At 40.1% G+C, this 18,646-nt stretch overlaps 1 protein-coding gene across 4 annotated transcripts in view, besides 1 other annotated feature; it reads right to left on the reverse strand.

Annotated features, from left to right (window-relative positions):
• SGCZ (sarcoglycan zeta) overlaps window positions 1-18,646 on the reverse strand; it is a 1,153,587-nt gene that overhangs the window by 1,063,226 nt on the left and 71,715 nt on the right. The window lies entirely within an intron of this gene.
• Window positions 15,737-15,937: a silencer, noted in NCBI's record as "peak6913 fragment used in MPRA reporter construct". NCBI's record gives its function as "represses an SCP1 promoter by STARR-seq MPRAs in K562 erythroleukemia cells {active_cell/tissue: K562}" and the evidence as "EXISTENCE:reporter gene assay evidence [ECO:0000049][PMID:32103011]".

Consider the following 18,646-nt stretch of genomic DNA (forward strand, 5'->3'; position numbering starts at 1 on the left):
TCTCCTACACCAAAAGCAAGAAGCAGCGATGAGGCAGCTAGTAAAAGAATATGTGATAAAATTAGTTTCTACTTAGCTAATTTCTTTACAATAAAAACATATCTGACATAAAATAGACACATTGATGCCTTTTTAATTAAGTGAAGAAAACAATTCACTCTCTCTTGGATGATGTGAGTCAATATTGGGGAAATAGTAGTTGGGATAAGCTGAGGATTTGATGGACATTAAGTTGCTATCGGACATCAGGTTCAGGAGCTCACTGATGGTTAATGAACTTCATTCTGGAAAAAGATGCCTCGATGTCAGTTTGATTTTTGCTCATTTGCTGCCTTGACATAAAAGTGAGTTAAGTGTGCAGCTGTGTGACCTCCTGGGTATTATAGCATGACTACACTACTCCATAGTTAATTAGCAAATCGAAGGTTGAAGCAGCCTTTTCCGGAGTCATAGGAATTGCAAGGCCATTTGCTCCCCATTGTCCTAAATATCCTCTGTCTAGTTACCATCAATTATTTTTGCTTGATTAATACAACCCCTGAATTTACGATATTGTTGAGTCTCACTTATACTACGGCTAATAGGTGTGAAGACAGAAGATGCTTCACCCTTTCAAGTTTCTCAGGTGACACTGATACGAGTTCTCCAAGCAAGCCTGGATGCTTGACTTATAACTGAATTTCAGACACAAGCTGATACAAAAATTGGATGTGGGTTGCCATAACAAAATTAAATTCCAACATATTAACTGCCAGGAAAGAGGAGAGTGAAAGAATCATATTACCACTTGCCCCTCACACTGTCATAGTCGACAAAAGACTGACTGAAAGGCCAAAGAAAAGCAAGAACAGGGAATAATACTGCACGAGCACTGAAATCAGGAGTAAAAGCAAACACGTATCACAGATATACTGCTGTGTGAGCCAAAGCAAAGAAAATCACAGGACACTACACAGAATTGATTTTCCTGCTGCAGAAAGCAAAAGGAGGGAATTCTGTAAGTGTCTGTTAAGTGTCCCTGTTTTGAAGATGCAATCACCGGTGGTCCTTCCCCACAGCAGGTCAGAGGCTCTGGAAACCAGGCTGGAAAGGAGCCATTATTCTTATTTTTTTTTATTATTGACTAAATGACTATCCTTCAAACATTATCCCATTAAATCCTATATGGGATGAGGTCTGGAAGGGAAAGGGACAGGGCTGAAATTTGACAAGTAACTGGTCACCAATTTAGTGCAAATTCAAGTATGGAGGATTGGTGTGCAGAATAAAAAGCTCACAGGACAGAAAGTCTAACTGGACTTCTTACTGATGTCCCCACCAGATAGGACTATGAACTTGATTTTGCAAACCTAGTACCAGTTCAGCAGTGGCAAGTTACTTGAATTAAAATGCACCAAAAAATCTTCTGTAGCCCTGCTTTTTGCATTTCCTCCAGCCTCCAAGGCTCTGACAGACAACTTGATATGCTCTAGCCAACCCTCCTGCTTTAAGGATGGAATTTTCAATGCAAGTTAAAACAACAATGAAATATCATTTATCACTTACATCATTGCTAAGATTGAAAATATTGAGAATAGCCAGCTTTAATGAGGTGGAGGAAAACAGTCACCTTTAACGACTGCTGGTATAACTATAAACTACAAAAAAAAAAAAAAAAAAAAAGCCTTCCTGGAGGGTAATTTGACAATCTGTTTAAAAATTTCAAATGCATATTCACTGACCCAGCAATTCTTCTAAAAATACACACTAATAACCACGGAAGTGTCCAAAGATACAGTATGAGGATATTCTGTTGATAATAGAGAATAACTAGAAAACAAAAATGTGCATCAACAGAGACCTGGAGGCATCATGGGAAACCATGCCAAGGAGTACAGTGTAGTCATTACAAATAATTGTATTTGTCTATATTTAGTTAGATGGAAAAAAATCTGCAGTGTGTCTGCAAAGGAAAAAAGCAAGCTGTCAAACAGCCACCTGTGCAAAATATTCATTATGAAAAAGTCTGAAAGGCTCTACAATCAAAATGTGGCTTGTGGATTTTTGAGCGATTTTCATTTCCTTCTTTACAAATTTATCTATTGTCTGGATATTTTATGAGGACTGTGTATTGCTTTATCCATTACTTTATAAAACAGTGCGAATCAGAAATAAACATACCAATATGTTTGATAAAAATGAATAATTTTTACAAAGTTATTACAATTGATAAAAAATTAAAACTGTCAGCTATTCTGAATATATAAAATAAAAAGTTTCAGTTAGACCCTGGTTGAATTTAAGTCAGTCGGTTATTTAATGCATTAATTAATTGACCTCAGTTTCTCCATTGAAAAGGTTTCCTTCGATGCCCTGGGGCCATAGACCCTGCTGAGCATAGGTAAAGCCACGTGATTCACTCCCATCCTCTGGAACCCTCCCAAACCTAATTCCCCCTCCCTACTCACGCACAGAGTTGACTGGAACAAGGTTTGATTGTGTTAATGAGTATATAAAGCAATTGAAGTCGGTCCCTGTTGATACTTGAACTGAACAAGTATGTTGGGATTCTGGAGGCCCTTTTTCACCTGGACACCAAACAAGAGGCAGAGATGAGAAAAAATTGTATCAAGAGAAACAAAGAAGCTGACTTTTTATTTTCCTAAATTCTCTCACCAGGCATAACTATACTTCCTGCTTGGTTTCTGGAAGATAACACGTATTTGTTTCCATAAATTCTCCTTTGATTTAAGCTAAGGCTGTGGTTTTTTTGTTTTCTGTTTTCTTTACTATTTGCAGCTGACTAAAGTCTGGTGGGTAGTCTCTAAAATGGCCTCCAGTGATTTTTGCCCTCTCATTTTCACACCCTTGTGTAATTCATTCTCCTCTAGTGTGGACTTGACCTACTGGCATGCTTCTAATTAATAGAACATGGCAGAAATTATGGGCACTAAGTGGTGGACCTATTGGCTTCTATCTTACGTTCTATCTCTTTCTCTGATGTACATACACACAGACACACATACACACTCACGCACACACTTCGCTGGAGCGGCCTCGGAGGATGGAGGCTGTCTATTCAGAGGACTACTGCGGTACGCCAACCAACAACCAACACCAACTGCCAATCCCGTGAATGGGCTTCTTGCACATAGACCCTCCTATTCTAATCAAGGCTTCAGATGAAGCTGCCCCAGCCAATAGTTTTACTCCAAGAGAGACCATGAGCCAAATCTATCCCCACTAAGCTACTTCTGGAATCTCACCCAACATAAACTGAAAATAAGTATTTGTTGTTCAAGCCATTCAACTCTGGAGTCATTTGATATGCTACAATAGATTACAAATACATAATCCCTTATTGAAATAATGATATGTTCAACTATGGGAGAAATGTTCAAAAATAATATCAGTGAAAAGTTGGAAAATATAACATTGAAAATGAATGAGGTTGAAAATGTGAAAGGCCTAAATAGGACTTCTTTAATTTTTAGTCCTCTCTGAATAAAATATCTTTATGATATAGAAATCTGAATACATTTTCACAAAGAATGCATTATTTTTAAAGTAGAGAAATACTTCAAACTATTTTCACTTGGATGTACATGTATACACATACATAAAGAGCCAACTATATAATGACACAGTTAATAATATTTCAGATTAAGAAAAAATACTGATGCCTCACAGCAGTATCAATAAGACTTAAGCACTGAATAAATATATTGAATTAAGAAGTCAATGAATGAATTTTCCAACAGTAACCCTGTTTTTCAACTCTGTAATGATCCATCAATATACTGGCTTTTTCATCTTCAGAGAACTCTTGATTCTAATAAAAGCATTTGAAGCGGTTAATCCATGTGTAAACCACATACACTAAGGGGAAAAAAAGATTTGAAAAGCCAACGACCTGACGTGATATTAAGTGATTCAACAGCCTTTAAAACTGTGGTTAAGCAAAGGTTTGAAGTAAAATAAGAAAGTATCATAAAATAATAAAAGGGGTGTTTTATTATTACTTTAATTTCCTTTTGAAAGAATCACTTTTCTGGATTTTGTTTGTTAAAAACTGAGATGTCCTGAGATAGCATGAAAGTGACAGGACTTCTAATAATAAAGATGTCAAGCTGTTAGAAATGTACTTCATAATTGCTGAATCACAGGAAACAGGTTCCTTTACTAAGACTGGAAGAACAAAGCAAGGCAGGAATAGTTAAAACATGATGAACTAAGGGTCAGAAAAAAATATGTAAAAACAAGGATAAGTGGAAGTTTCAAGCTGAGAAGAATCTTAGGCTTAGAAAGAAGGCAGTGGTACAGGATGCTCGAGTACAGTACGTGGAAGAAAATTAACAGGAAATAAACACATAACCTGGAGAAACAAGGTGTTAGAACAGCCAATGCTTACTGGTAAAATATCCATCTACTGAGTAAAAGCAGGTCCTTGCAAGCTCCAAACTACAGATGTCAAAACAGGTGGAGGCAACTTATTGTGAAACACGACAGAAGAGCAATGAAAAGCCATTATCTTTTCAGCAACTTGAGAAAATCAGAAGGCACGGCGAGTAGAAAACAGAGAGAATATAAATCACACTCCTTTGAGATATCTTTGCTTTTTAAAAAAACATGGTTAACTTACCTGGTCGAGAATTTCATTGAAGTTGCTCCAGAGTACGTATCTTATTCACAAAGAAGTCCTTTTTGTTTAATGTCTCTATTAAGAACACTAGTATTGTCTAGAGCAAAAATACCTACACCCTCCTAAGTACCTATATCAGATAAACTGACTAATAATCTCCTGACTGCTATAGTGATTCCCAGACCAAGAAAGTTCATAGCAGATGGTGTCAACAACCCCACTGCTCCAGTCTCCTGGGTAGAGGAAAGGGTTTTGCAAATTTGGTGACCCGCTTTGGACTCTCCAAGCCTCAAAGAAATCAGAGGTTATTATGAAACTGTCCAATGGTACAAAGATTTTGCTCAATGGCCGTCAATAACTTAACCAGAGTTTCTCATCTAAACCAAAGAAAAGAGAAAATCATTTGAGAGACTACAGTCTCAATACTTCCAGGAATAATATATAATTAGTACAATTTTAGATGTACAGGAGATAAATGAATCCATTACACATAACGGGTAGCTAAAGCCATCAGGGATTAATTCTCTTGTAAATCCAGGTGCATGGGTGGCATGAAAATAAACAACATAAAACTTTTGAGCTGCTGCAACTAAAACAAATGTCTAATGCATGATATGCCTAACATATATACTGAAGTCCATGTTGAAGCCAAAGTGGAATGTGCACCTCATATTTAAAGCCAGGTTATTATACAACTAACTCCGTCACTTTAGTAACGTGAGAATGCCAGACAGCTTGCCAGACAGAGAGACACATCACAGAGTCTGTATTAGTCAGTGATATAGTTTGAACATATGTCCCCATCCAAATCTCATGTTGAAATGTAACCCCCAATGATGGAGGTGGGGCCGGGTAGAAGGTATTTTGATCCCGGGGGTAGATCCCTCATGAAAGGCTTGGACTATCTCCTCGGTGGTTAAGTGAGCTCTCGCTCTGAGTTCTGGCCATTTAAAAGGCTATGGCACTTTCCCCCCACCCTCTCTCTCTTGTCCCTGCTCTCACCATGTGAAGTGCCTGCCCCTACCGTGCCTTCCGCGAGGAAAAGTTTCTCCAAGCCTCCTCAGAAGCAGAGGCTGGCACCATGCTTCCTGTATAGCCTGCAGGCCCATGAGTCAATTAAACCTGTGTTTAATTATAAATTAAATTTATAATCCTTTATAAATCAGCAATTTCCAACCTTTTTGGCACCAGGGACCAGTTTTGTGGAAGACAAGTTTTCCAGGGATGTAGGGGTGGGTGAGAACTACTCCACCTCAGATCTTCAGGCATTAGATTCTCATAAGGAGAATGCAACCTAGATCCCTCACATGCACGGTTCACGATAGAGTTTGTGCTTCTATGAGAATCTAAAGATGCAACTGATCTGACAGGAGATGAAGCTCAGGAGGTCATATTCACTCACCACTTACCCCCTGCATGTGGCCCGGTTCCTAACAGGCCATGAACTGGGGGTTGGGGACTCCTGTTATAAATTATCCAGTATCTGGTTTTTCTTTATAGCAAGGCAAAGACAACCTAACACAGTCAGCTTTCACTAGTTTTGCTCCTAAAACCAAAGTGTCTTAAAACAACAAGGATATATTTCTCACTCAAAGTACCTGTGGGCTGTGAGTCACCTAAAGCAGCAGACCCTACATGAAATAAGCTGATCTCTGGAAAGGAGCAAAAATGGGACCACCCAGCTTTTGCTCAGCCTGGTCATGCCTCCCTTCCAGTGGCCAGAGTGTCCCACATCCAAGACTCTTATGAAGGGCTGGAAAGTAGACATCTCCCTTAGAGAGGGTCACCAGAGAGGGGACACAGAGAGATGGACCCCAGTACAGACAGCAGAGCAAATATGTTGAGCAAATAATAGTCTATCATGGAGTAAACAGTACAATATATCATAGAGGCAGAAACTTCAGAATGCCACCATATGCTCTGAGTTGTAAGTAACAGGTGATCAATATTTTGTAAAGAAAATTAAAGGAAGCAACCATCCTTCAGAAACCATTTGAAGAGGGCTTTGCATTTAAAGTTGCACTTCAAGCAATTATAAACAAAAAATGGGAGTATTTAGTAATTCGACTGAGACAGTCAGTCAAGACTCTGATGCCCATTGTTTATATCCTGCCAGAATTTGTATAAAAAGTTATAGTCCTTTTGATGAACATGAGAGGTTGGTTAACAGATACAAAATTACAGCTAGATAGGAGGAATAAGCTCTAGTGTTCTACAGCAGTGTAGGGTAAAATTAATTAACAACAATATATTGTATAATTTCAAATAGTGAGAAGAGCCGATTTTGAATATTCCCAACACCAAGAAATGATAAATGCAGCCAAGCATGGTAGCTCACCCCTGAGATCCCAGCACTTTGGGAGGCCAAGGAAAGTGGATAGCTTGAGCCCAGGAGTTCGAGACCAGCCTGGGAAACATGGTGAAACATGTATTTCTACTAAAAATACAGAAAAATCAGCTGAGTGTGGTGGTGCACGCCTATAGTCCCAGCTACTTGGGAGGCTGAGGTGGAACAATGGCTTGAGCCCGGGAGGCAGAGGTTGCAGTGAGCTGAGATCACGCCATTGCACTCCAGCCTGGGTGACAGACCCAGACCCTGTCTCACAAAAAATAAATAAATAAGTGTTTCAGGTAATTAATATGCTATCATAATTATCCTGATTTGATCATTATACATTGTATGCATGTATTGAAATATCATACTGTACCCCATAAATATGTATGATTATGTGCCAACTGAAATAATGCAAAACAATACTCCTATCTTGACCTAGCAACTTCAATTTTTAGTATTCTAGAAAATATTAAAGTAGCACAACAGATGTATTCACAAGTAAGTTGAGTAGAGCAATGTATACGAAACCAGCCAACTGGAAACGTCATAACTGAGCCACAAGTTTGGTGTGCAAAATTATGCTGTATTCATATTAATATAATTCTCTGCAGACATAAAAATGACATGAAGAACGCCTATTAAATATATTTATGATACATGATATAATTGATCACCATGCAAAATTGAATATACAGTATAAACCTGATTTGCAGAAAAAATGTATATAGCTTTAGGCATAAAGAAGAGTGGGCTGAGCGTGGTGACTTACACCTGTTATCCTAGCACTTTGGGAGTCTGAGGCAGGTGGACTGCCTGAGCTCAGGAGCTCGAGATCAGCCTGGACAACATGGCGAAACTCTGTCTCTACTAAAATACAAAAAATCAGTCAGGTGTAGTGGCGCACACCTGTAGTCCAAGCTACTCGAGAGGCCGAAGCAGGAGAATCGCTTGAACTTGGGAGGCAGAGGTTGCAGTGAGCCAAGATCGTGCCATTGCACTCCAGCCTGGGTGACAGAGTGAGATTCCCTCTCAAAAAAAAAAAAAAAAAATAGAAGAGTGAAGTGAAGGTCAATGCTGAAATATTTAAAGTGATTATTTCTAGATGCCACATTTATAGGTAACTTTCATTTTTTTCTGTATGTTTCACTCCAGTTTTCAAGGAGACTCAATTAATTACTTTAAAATGGCTAATGTCCAAAAACGCAGACTATGAGTCCTGAAAGACTGAGGCCTTATTTCTGCATAGGGGCTTTAGATTGTCACTAGGCAATCTAAAGTTCCTACGCAGAAATAAGAAATAAATTGTCATTTAGGGTAGAAATAATTGCCTTAAACCTTGAGGGATTTAATGGCTTATCACCTGTCCTAAGAGAACTTGCCAATCGTGACAAGAAAGACTCATTTTATCAGCATGGTGAAATCACTCTTGGATAGAATGTACTTGGAAAGAACATACCTGAAAAGCTGCAGAGTTCTTGACTGTCATGATTTGCTGTTTTTCACTAACTTTCTTTCACCTTCCCAGCTTGAAATGACAAAACCATTCTTCTGAAAACGTCCATTATCTCGTTGAAAGACATTTCCTCAAAGCTCCTTATCTTTGCAATACATACCAATGTAAAGAAAGCACTTCTCGGCCAGGCGCGGTGGCTCATGCCTGTAATCCCAGCATTCTGGGAGTCCAAGGCAGACGGATCACCTGAGGTCAGGAGTTCAAGACCAGCCTGGCCAACATGGTGAAACCCCGTTGCTATTAAAATACAAAAAATTAGCTGAGTGTGGTGGTGGATGCCTTGTAATCCCAGCTACTCAGGAGGCTGAGGCAGGAGATTCGCTTGAACCCAGGAGACGGAGGTGGCAGTAAGCCGAGCATGCAGCATCGCACTCCGCCTGGGCAACAAGAGGGAAACTCTGTCTCAAAAAAAAAAAAAAAGAAAAGAAAAAGAAAGAAAGAGAAAAGAAAGCAAGCACTTCTCAAATATTCTCAAATAGTTTCTTTTCTCTGGGAATCTTTCATGAAAAAAACATGAACAGTGAACCTCCAATTTACATGAGCATACATACCTGTACCCAAATGATGCCTAAAATGATGCAGAGGCAGAAAAATACTTGAACAGCTCTGCTAAGGCCCAATATTACATACATAGATGATGACATTTTATACTTACCCATAAATATTTTTCCCTACTCACAATATGATATTTTTCTCATAAAAGTAGCGCATGGCTAGGCAGGGTGGCTCATGCCTGTGATCCCAGCACTTTGGGAGCCTGAGGCAGGAGGAACACTTGACCCCAGGAGCCCAGGAGTGAGCTCACACCACTGCACACCAGCCACACTGCAGATTACGCCACTGTACTCTAGGCTGGGTGACAAAGCAAGACCGTCTCTTAAGGGGGAAAAAAAAAAAGTAGCCCGTAATTTTTTTCATTTTTTACAAAGAAAAAAATAAAAAGAACAACAACAATGACAACAAGAACCATTTGGAGTTCATACAAATTCACGGATTCAATTCATGCTTTATGCCTTCATCACTTGTAATACTCAGGACCAGGAGGCTACCACACCAGACTAATGTCCTGGTTCTACTAGGCTTACAGCTCTGGAACAAGTGAACATGTCTTGTCTCTTCCTCCAAAACAACACACTTACACTCATGGACATGCAGACACAGACACACTCTTAGGCACCCTGAATGAAACCTTTACAGTACTAGATCATTGTGGACCTAGCACTTAGCACTACTGTATACCTCCACTAGCTGAACTATGCTAGTGGAATATGGCATTCAATCTATTCCCCTTTCTAAAAACAAATGTAAAAATGGAGCAAAATACCCATTTGGCCTACAAAGAAACGTAGAGACCATCTGGCCTTGTTGTTCCTCCTTCTCAGGCCCTCGGCCTTCCGCAGGTCCATTCCAGGGCCGCTCTTGCCCAGTGACTGGCAGAACTGTCCTCACTTTTGTTTTGCTGTTGCTAGATTTCCATTCTTTGTCCATGCACTTGCCTCTCACCACCCCCTTTCCTTTGGCAAACACAAATGGTATCATCTCCAATCCTTACCATTTCTCCTTTTCTCTAGATCTCTCTTATTTCTTCTCTACTCCATCTCTTATCACAATTTTTCTAGTTTGCCACAAAAAAAAAAATGGTGAAAAGATATAGTCCCCATTCATCAGGGAATCCCTTTCCTCCTCCATATCACCCCATACCAGGTTTCTCTTTCTGTTTATCCTCCGTTATCCATTTTTCCCAGTTCTAAAGGCCAAAACCCCTACCCTAAATTTTTCCTTTTTTGCTAGCTATTTGTGGAATCTGAGGTCCTAAGAAGGCTGTTCTCCACATGGCTGATATTTTTGTGCATTTTTTATGTGCATATAGCAATAAATATAAATCATAGCTGTAACTTTTGATATATACTTGGGTTAAAAAGAATTCTTCAATATTTAATCTAAAAGGTGCATAGTGTGATTTAATATTTTTCATGAGTAGTAAGAAGAAAAAATATTACTACTTTATGCTAAAACCTACTGAAGCATATTCAGAATACTAAGGAAGAGTCATAATTCTTCTTATTTAGAAATTCATTTGGAACTTATAATTCATTTAGAATGTATAATTCATGTGGAAAATATCTGGGTAGGTTCTTTGAATATAAATAGTGAGGCCTCTAGGGCATGGTCTACAAAATAAAGGTAAAGGAGTTTAGGATTTCCCCAAAGACAATTTTGGAGATGGAAGATGAGGGTCACAGGGATGAGGAGACCCAGAGTGACAAAGAAAGATCTAGACAGGGAGAAAGATCCTAGAAATATTATGTGAAGTCTAAACTCAAGGAGGGTTATAATCACTCTGTGGTCAGGTAATGGCAGTGCAGTATTGTCAAATATATATTTGGTCTTCAACCTGTTTCCTGATATACAACTCCTAAAATCCTTAAAATCTCCAAAGTGATGGTTTTTGTCTGCAAATGATCAACAGATGGCTGCAATCCCTACGTAGCTTCAGGATGGGAGCTGGTCACCTGAAAGACCAGAACATCTGAAAGACCAGCCTTCTGAGAGGGGAGGGGGCCTAAGGTCAAGTTGATTATCAATGGCCAATGATTTAATCAGTCATGCCTAGGTAATGAGGCCTCTATAAAAATCCAAGAGCAAAGGGTTTAGATAGCTTCTAGATAGCTGAACACATGTAGGTTCCCGAAGGGTGGTCCACGGAGAGCAGGCATGGGAGCTCACCACCACAATTACTGCCTTAGGTGACTCTTCACATGTATCCTTTCTAGTATCCTTTATAAGAAACTGAAAAAAACATGGTTCCCTGAGTTCTGTGAGTCTCTCCAGAAAATTAATTGAACCCAAAGAGTGGGTCATGGGAACTCTGACTTGAAACCAGTCATCAGAAGTTCCTGAGGCTTGGGCTTGTGACTGGCATCCAAAGCTGGGGAGCAGTCTTGGGGACTGAGCCCTCAACCTGTGGCATCTGAAGCTACTTCCAGGTAGATGCTGCCAGAGTTGAATTGGAGGATATGCAGCTTGTGTCCACTGCAGAACTGATTGCTTGCCTGGTGTGTGGGCAACCTCTCCCATATATTTCATCATAGAAGTCTTCCCTGTTGACTGTTTTTGTGAGTGGTGTGAGAACAGAGGAAAAAGAGTTTGAAGGTTTTTTTATTTTTTTTGTTCCCCCCTCCCTCGCCCCCGCCCCCCCCACCCTCCCCCCCACCCCCGCCACACACACACAGATGGTGTCTGAATCAGCTTAATGGCAGATAATTTTCTGGGACCAGTAATATGACACTGAATTTGGGGTAACCCCTCTAATTCCTGCCTTTCTCTACTCACAAATTAAGTTGCAAATGGTAAGTGTGCTACAACTTTGTGCCAATAGGCACTTAGGGGGAAAAAGGAAGAGAGGTGTTCATTATAGACGAGTAGGAGACAGAACAGCAGCATCAAGACCTGATTTTTTTGTTGTTTTTCACTTTTAATTGTGGTAAAATTCATAGAACATAAGCTTTACCATATTGGCCCATTTTTAAGTGTACAGTTCAGTAGTGTTACATTCACATTGTTGTATAACCAGTCTCCAAAACGATTTTCGTCTTGTAAAACTGAAACTCTGTATCTTTTAAACTGTCTCTGTGAATCTGACTACTCTAGACATCTCAGGGAAGTGCAATAACACATTATTTGTCTTTTTGTGGCAGGATAATTTCACTCAGAATAATGTCCTCAAGATTGGTCCATATTGTAGCAATTCATCCAATTGACCATATTGTGTCAGAATCACCATCCTTTGTAAATTTGAATAATATTCCATTTTACATATCTACTCCGCTGTGTTTATCGATTTATCTTTTGATAGACTCTTGGGTGCTTCCACCTTTGGGCTACTGTGAATAACGCTGCTATGAACAGACGTGTGAGACGAGAATTTTGAACAGGAGTCAGTCCACTAGTGTAGATGGACCCAGCAACACAACCCTATTCCCCAGGAGAGTCAATTTTGAAAGAAGGAAAAGTAGCCATGTGATTTATATATTCAACATTTTTTTTCGGTTACCTATAGCCCTCTCCCAATTTTTCTAGGCTTTGTAGAAAACATTTTCACATTAAAACTATACATTAAAGCAGACATCTCCACTTAAGTGTTCAGTAGGCATATGAGACTTAACATGTCTAAACTAACTTTCCGATCTTCCCCATGAATCTGACTTCAATTGGTGCTCTGCTCTTGTCAGTTGAGGGCCACTGCATCCTCCCAGGTGCTCAGGCCAAAAGGCACATGCCACCGTCTATGCCTCCATTCTGTCTATTCTCAACATAGCATGCAGAGGCATCCTTGAGACAGTCTTGCTTTGTCACCCAGCCTAGAGTACACTGGCGTAATCTGGTGTGCAGCCACTACAGTGGCTGGTGTGCAGTGGTGTGAGCTCACTCCTGGGCTCCTGGGATCAAGCATTCCTTTTCATCTTAAGTCAAATCATGATGCTCTCCTGCTCAGTCCTTCAACGGCCTCTTTCTCTGCAAGATCTGAAGATCTTGCAGTGGCCTCTCAAATCCTTAGGTGATCTGGTTCCCTGCTCCCTCTCTCACCTCCTACCATTCTTCACCCTCCTCCTGTGGGTCCAACCCCATTGAACTCTCTTCTGTCCCTTGAATATACCCACCTACTCCAACATTACATCATGGACTTTAAACGCTCTCCCCCTACATCATCCATGACTCCCTTGTTTACCTCCCCTACTGTCGACTCTCCTGTAAGGTCTTTCCCAGGTAACCATATTTAAAATTTCAGCTTTCTCATTTCCTGAAATGCTCCTTGTCTGTCTTCTCTGCTTTATTTTTCTCCACAGCACTTACCCCACTCATTATACCATATATACTTTATTTATTTGTCTTAGACATCCTCAATTTTTCACCATCAGGATGTCTGCTTCATGAGGGCCAGGGCTGTATGTGTTTTGCCTACTTCTGTATCCTCAGCAGTGGGCAGTGCCTGGTGTCCAGTAGGTGCTTAATGGGTCTCTGTGAAATGAATTAAATTTGTATGAATGAATGAATTAAAGCAAAAAGTCAAGTTTGGGGAAAGAAAAAAGTTCAGCAAACATGTTGTAAAAAGTAGAAACCAAAAAATTTCAACTAAGGTTTTTCCATGTTACTCATTTAACAAAATACAAATAAGTCACATCAAACAGTTGGCAATTAACAAATTAAAAAGAGGCTGGGTGCCGTGGCTCACATCTATAATCCTAGCACTTTGGAAGGCCAAGATATGTAGATCACTTGAGGCCAGGAGTTCAAGACCAGCCTGGGCAACATGACGAAACCCCATATCTATAAAAATTACAAAAATTAGCTGGGCGTGGGGGTGCACACCTGTAGTCCCAGCTACTTGGCTGGGACACGAGAATCACTTGAGCCCAGGAAGTGGAGGTTGCAGTGACCCAAGATTGCACCACGGCACTCCAGCCTGGGTAACAGCGTGAAAAGAGGCAAACTGCCTTGACTATATGCCTATAGAGATTTACTGTAAACAGAATCAGTTTCTTAAAGAATTTTAATCTTACACTTGAACAAAGTTTGTATTGGATGAAGACATCTATGATATTTTGTGTGCCTCATTTTATCAATTCACAAGAGGAAATGTTTTGTTAGACCTGTTAAGAAAGTGGACAAATAACTCAAGACATACCCATACCATAGCTTTTGCATTAATCAATAGATTAAAGACACATAAAGAAATAAATAACGAGGAATTTTTTTAAAAAACGGCCAAAAGTTCTGTGGCCAGCACCTGTCCCACCTCTAACCCAAAGGAACATTTTATGTGGAGTTATTCAGGAGAATGGCATTTAAATTTTAGACAACTGATACTTTTCTTTCTTACAGCTACTTGTAAATTACTTTCAGAAAGAGCCATATATCCTTTAGCTACAAGTCACGTGGATAGATACTCCTTCATGACTCAGTTCTGTTTCCAAAGTGTTTTGATACTCAGATAATGTTAATGCAAGAAAAGAACTGCCCCTTCTCCAGCTTTTCACTTATCTTATGGCATCGGCCTTTGAAATAACAAATTCAGTCTAAAACTGTGTTTCACTTTTCATAAGAGTTAGGAAAATTCTGGCTCTCTCAAGTGGATTATATCCAGGACACCTTATCATCATCTTCTGAACCTACCATGTCTATGTTTTTCTCTCATGATCTGTGTAACCATTTAGTAATTTATTAGATTTTTATAGCATCTTACCTCTAAAGAGTTCTAATACTTTATAGAGAGTTCCTAAAAGTGAAAGTTTATAAACATTTCCTAAACATTTATCCTACAATAGCAAGGAAATCATGAAACTGCAGAAACAGTCTAAATAACTGAGATAGGGAAAATGAAGATGAAAGAGGAGAAGTAAAAGTGGTCGGAGTAGGCAGCAGTAAATTTGCATAAAATGTCTTGTGTCTTAAAACCTTCAAAACATTATTTTGAAATCATTTCGTGCTCAGTTGTATTTCTCAGGTATGCTATGACTAGGACTGCAGACAGATCACCAAAGAACTGGACGCCTTTGTTATACACATGTGTTTGCATGGGATTCTGTACGTAACAGTTCTTGCTTGGGGTCATCTTTGCAAAGTCATATCCAGCCATTCTTTGTTACTGGCTTATACTTATATAACATTTATCATGTGTCGGCCACCGTTTTAAACACTTTACAAGCATTACCACATTGAATCCACACAACGTCTTATGAGGTAGACACAAAAATTAGTCTATCTTCATTTCAGAGCTGAGGAAACTGAGGCATAACTACTAAGTAGGAGATCCAAGGTTCAGCCTTCAGGCTGTCTTGATTAGAAGCCATGCTGTTTACCATTACGCTAAGTTGCATTTATATACACTGAAAGGCCAGAAGATATGAATACTGGAAACGACTTCACTCATTTCCCTTCACTCCCTGTTTTGTTTTGTTATTGACTGTGTGGTTTCTTTTTTCTTCTTCATTTAATCTTGAAGTTCTAATAAAAATATATGATTTTACTTATCCTATTTCTTAAAGAAAAAGTCTGATAGCTATTGCTTAACTAGAGACCCTAAAGTAAATTACTGCTAAGTTTAACTAATGTCGACTTATTTGGTTACAATTACTTTTTACTGCATACTTTTGTACTATTGATCTGGAGGATTCTTATAACTCTTAAATATTTCTTTATTATTTACAGCAATTTGCCCTTTAATAAGTAAAATATGACAAGCAAAGGTTTAGATAAATAGTATACTAAGTTTCACTGTCCAAAAGAAAAATTCAACTTTACATACCATGGTGTCTTTTGGGCTGCTATTGAGACAGCCAGGTGGGAGGGTGTCCTCAGAGAAACTCCAGCCAGCCTGCCCACTGAGGTGGGGCCTCAGAAAGTTCAGGACGTTTACAGGGGAAGGAGGCTGGCCTCTCCGCTTCCTGCGTGGAACCTGGCATTCCAATGGCCGCCGGGAAGCGCTCTAGCAGGGACTCTGACCTAGCGAGGGTTCCTGTTTCCCCCTTTTCTATCTTTTCACCTAATAAAACCCTATCTCACTCACCATTCAAATTGTCAGCAAGCCTGAATTTTCATGGCCATGGGACAAAGAACCGTGTCTTCAGCTGAACTAAGGAAAAGTCCTGTAACATTTTTGGTGCCCAATGTGGGGGCTTGAGAAGTGGTGAGTGAAATGGGGACTCAAAACCTCTCACTGTTGCTTCTACGCCTTTTCAACCTCAGAATCCTGAGGGTGGGGGATACCATGCCTTTTTCTTCCTTTTACAGGACCCACCGGTGAGCAGCAGCTCCCAGCCGCTCCCCACTCCATGACAGAACAGCTCCCAGCCACTCCGCACTCCATGACAGGACTGGGACGCATGGTCCACGGGTTTGGGAGCCACTGGCAGTCCCCGCCACGTGCTGCTGCTGGAGCCCTCCCCAGCCCAGGGGTTTTACTCCCTAGGACAGTAATTGAATTAATCTCCGTGGTGGAAGAACCACTTGCCTAAGAATAAGAGGTTCTTCCCCAGGCATTTTTAAACTTTTTTTTTTTTTCCTCTTCTCCACCCCATCAGCAGTTAAGTTTTAAGCAAGTTTTTTTTTTTTTTTAAGAAGACATTTTACTAGGCCAGGCTCCCCAACTATCACTGTTGATAATTTCTTTAAAGCTTTAATTGTGAAAAAGGGTTTGTGAGGCTAGTCTTGGGCTGTGGCCAATCTGGTGTGCTTTGCATGTCTGTATGGTTAGTGCTGCAAGCCTCCATCTTGTTTTACATCTTGCGGGTATGGCTGTAACCCCTTGGCAACGCTTTGCTTAGCAGTCCTGACTTACGGAATAAGCTTCTTTCTGGTTTGATACCTGCATGTTTTCCCAGCCCTGTCTCTTAAAGGGCCCCACCCAGCAACTGGGTTTTCTTCTGCCTGTGTGTGTACTGTGTGATGTGTGTCAAAAGAGCTCTAATTAGGCCAGGCGCAGTGGCTCATGCCTGTAATCCCAGCACTTTGGGAGGCCCAGGTGGGCAGATCACGAGGTCAGGAGTTCAAGACCAGCCTGACCAACATGGTGAAACCCTGTCTCTAATAAAAATACAAAAATTAGCCAGGCGTGGTGGTACATGCCTGTAATCCCAGCTACTCAGGAGGCTGAGGCAGAAATGCATGAACCCGGGAGGCAGAGGTTGCAGTGAGCCGAGATCACGCCACTGCTGCACTCCAGCCTGGGACAGAGCGAGACTCTGTCCTCCCCGCCCCCACCAAAAAAAACCTCTAATTAATTTGGCCTGAAGAAAAAAGCTGTGGAACCTTTCAGTTCACGTGACTTTAACCTTAATAAATAAAAACAGCCCTAAAGACTATTGGTAACATGCAACATGCGGGTCAGAAGCAAGGTTTGCCAGGTGTTTTGAGGTTACAAACTGCTTTTTGGGTTTTGAGAACTATTTGACATGCTGGCTTTAGATTTGATATGGCCTGGGGACATATGGAACTAACTACCCCGCAACTAAGAAGCCATACCTTGGCTGCAGTTAGCACACAATTAAAGCAACTTACCAAGTTTTACCTTGAAGTTCAAAATTGCTAGGAGTTAATTGAAACTACTAGAAATATATTTACACGCAAGGTGTATGAGAACAGTAAAATGTGTTTTTTAATCAAAGGTTATAAGAAGGTATGGAAATGTAACCTTTTGCTTAGGGTTAAAGTATTTTGAGTTAGGAAAAAGCTGAAGTTGCAAAGAAGTGGTGGAGGAATTGTGGAAATTAATCTTGCAGAAGAGCTTCTCCGTGTGAACATATCGACTATATTCAAAAAGGGTGTCATATGGTTTTTCTGTAAATTGAGCACTGAAATAAAATCATAACAAGGTTTTCCCAAGGTGTGAATCTTCTTTTTGGCAAAATTTTTAAAGGGTTGTAAAAGGATTTTGCTTCTTCAACATTTCTGAGTTATCATTTTGGCAAAATAAATAATTTATGGAAATCTGGATTCTATTTCATAATATCGAGTGTTTTAAACCTCGAACATTTAATAGCCTTCCCAAAATCAAACTCCAGTTTCAAAATTGTCTTCCCTGGCACCTGGCTTTTTGAATTCTTCAAAGGGCCCGTGGAATTTCCAGAAAAGAAAGGTAAACAGGATTATTTGACATGTTCAGGTACATGGGATTGCCAAAATGATGCTCAATCCTTTTTTTTTTCTTTTTTTTTTTTTTCTTTTTTTGAGACGGAGTCTCGCTCTGTCGCCCAGGCTGGAGTGCAGTGGCAAGATCTCAGCTCACTGCAAGCTCTGCCTCCCGGGTTCACACCATTCTCCTGCCTCAGCCTCCTGGGTAGCTGGGACTACAGGCGCCCACCACCATGCCCAGCTAGTTTTTTCTATTTTTTAGTAGAGATGGGGTTTCACCGTGTTAGCCAGGATGGTCTCCATCTCCTGACCTCATGATCCGCCCGCCTTGGCCTCCCAAAGTGCTGGGATTACAGGTGTGAGCCACCACGCCTGGCCGATGCACAACCTTCTTTAGGTTTTATCTTGGTGAATAATGCTAATATATATTGCAAACTTATATGGGATTTCTAAAAATTCTAATGTCTGAGTATATGCTATCAATCATAATTAAGGTTTATGTTAAGATATTGTAAACAACAGAGATAACCAAACTTATTTGTCAATT

Source organism: Homo sapiens, chromosome 8, assembly GCF_000001405.40.
Source record: "Homo sapiens chromosome 8, GRCh38.p14 Primary Assembly".
NCBI classification, from domain to species: Eukaryota; Metazoa; Chordata; class Mammalia; order Primates; family Hominidae; genus Homo; species Homo sapiens.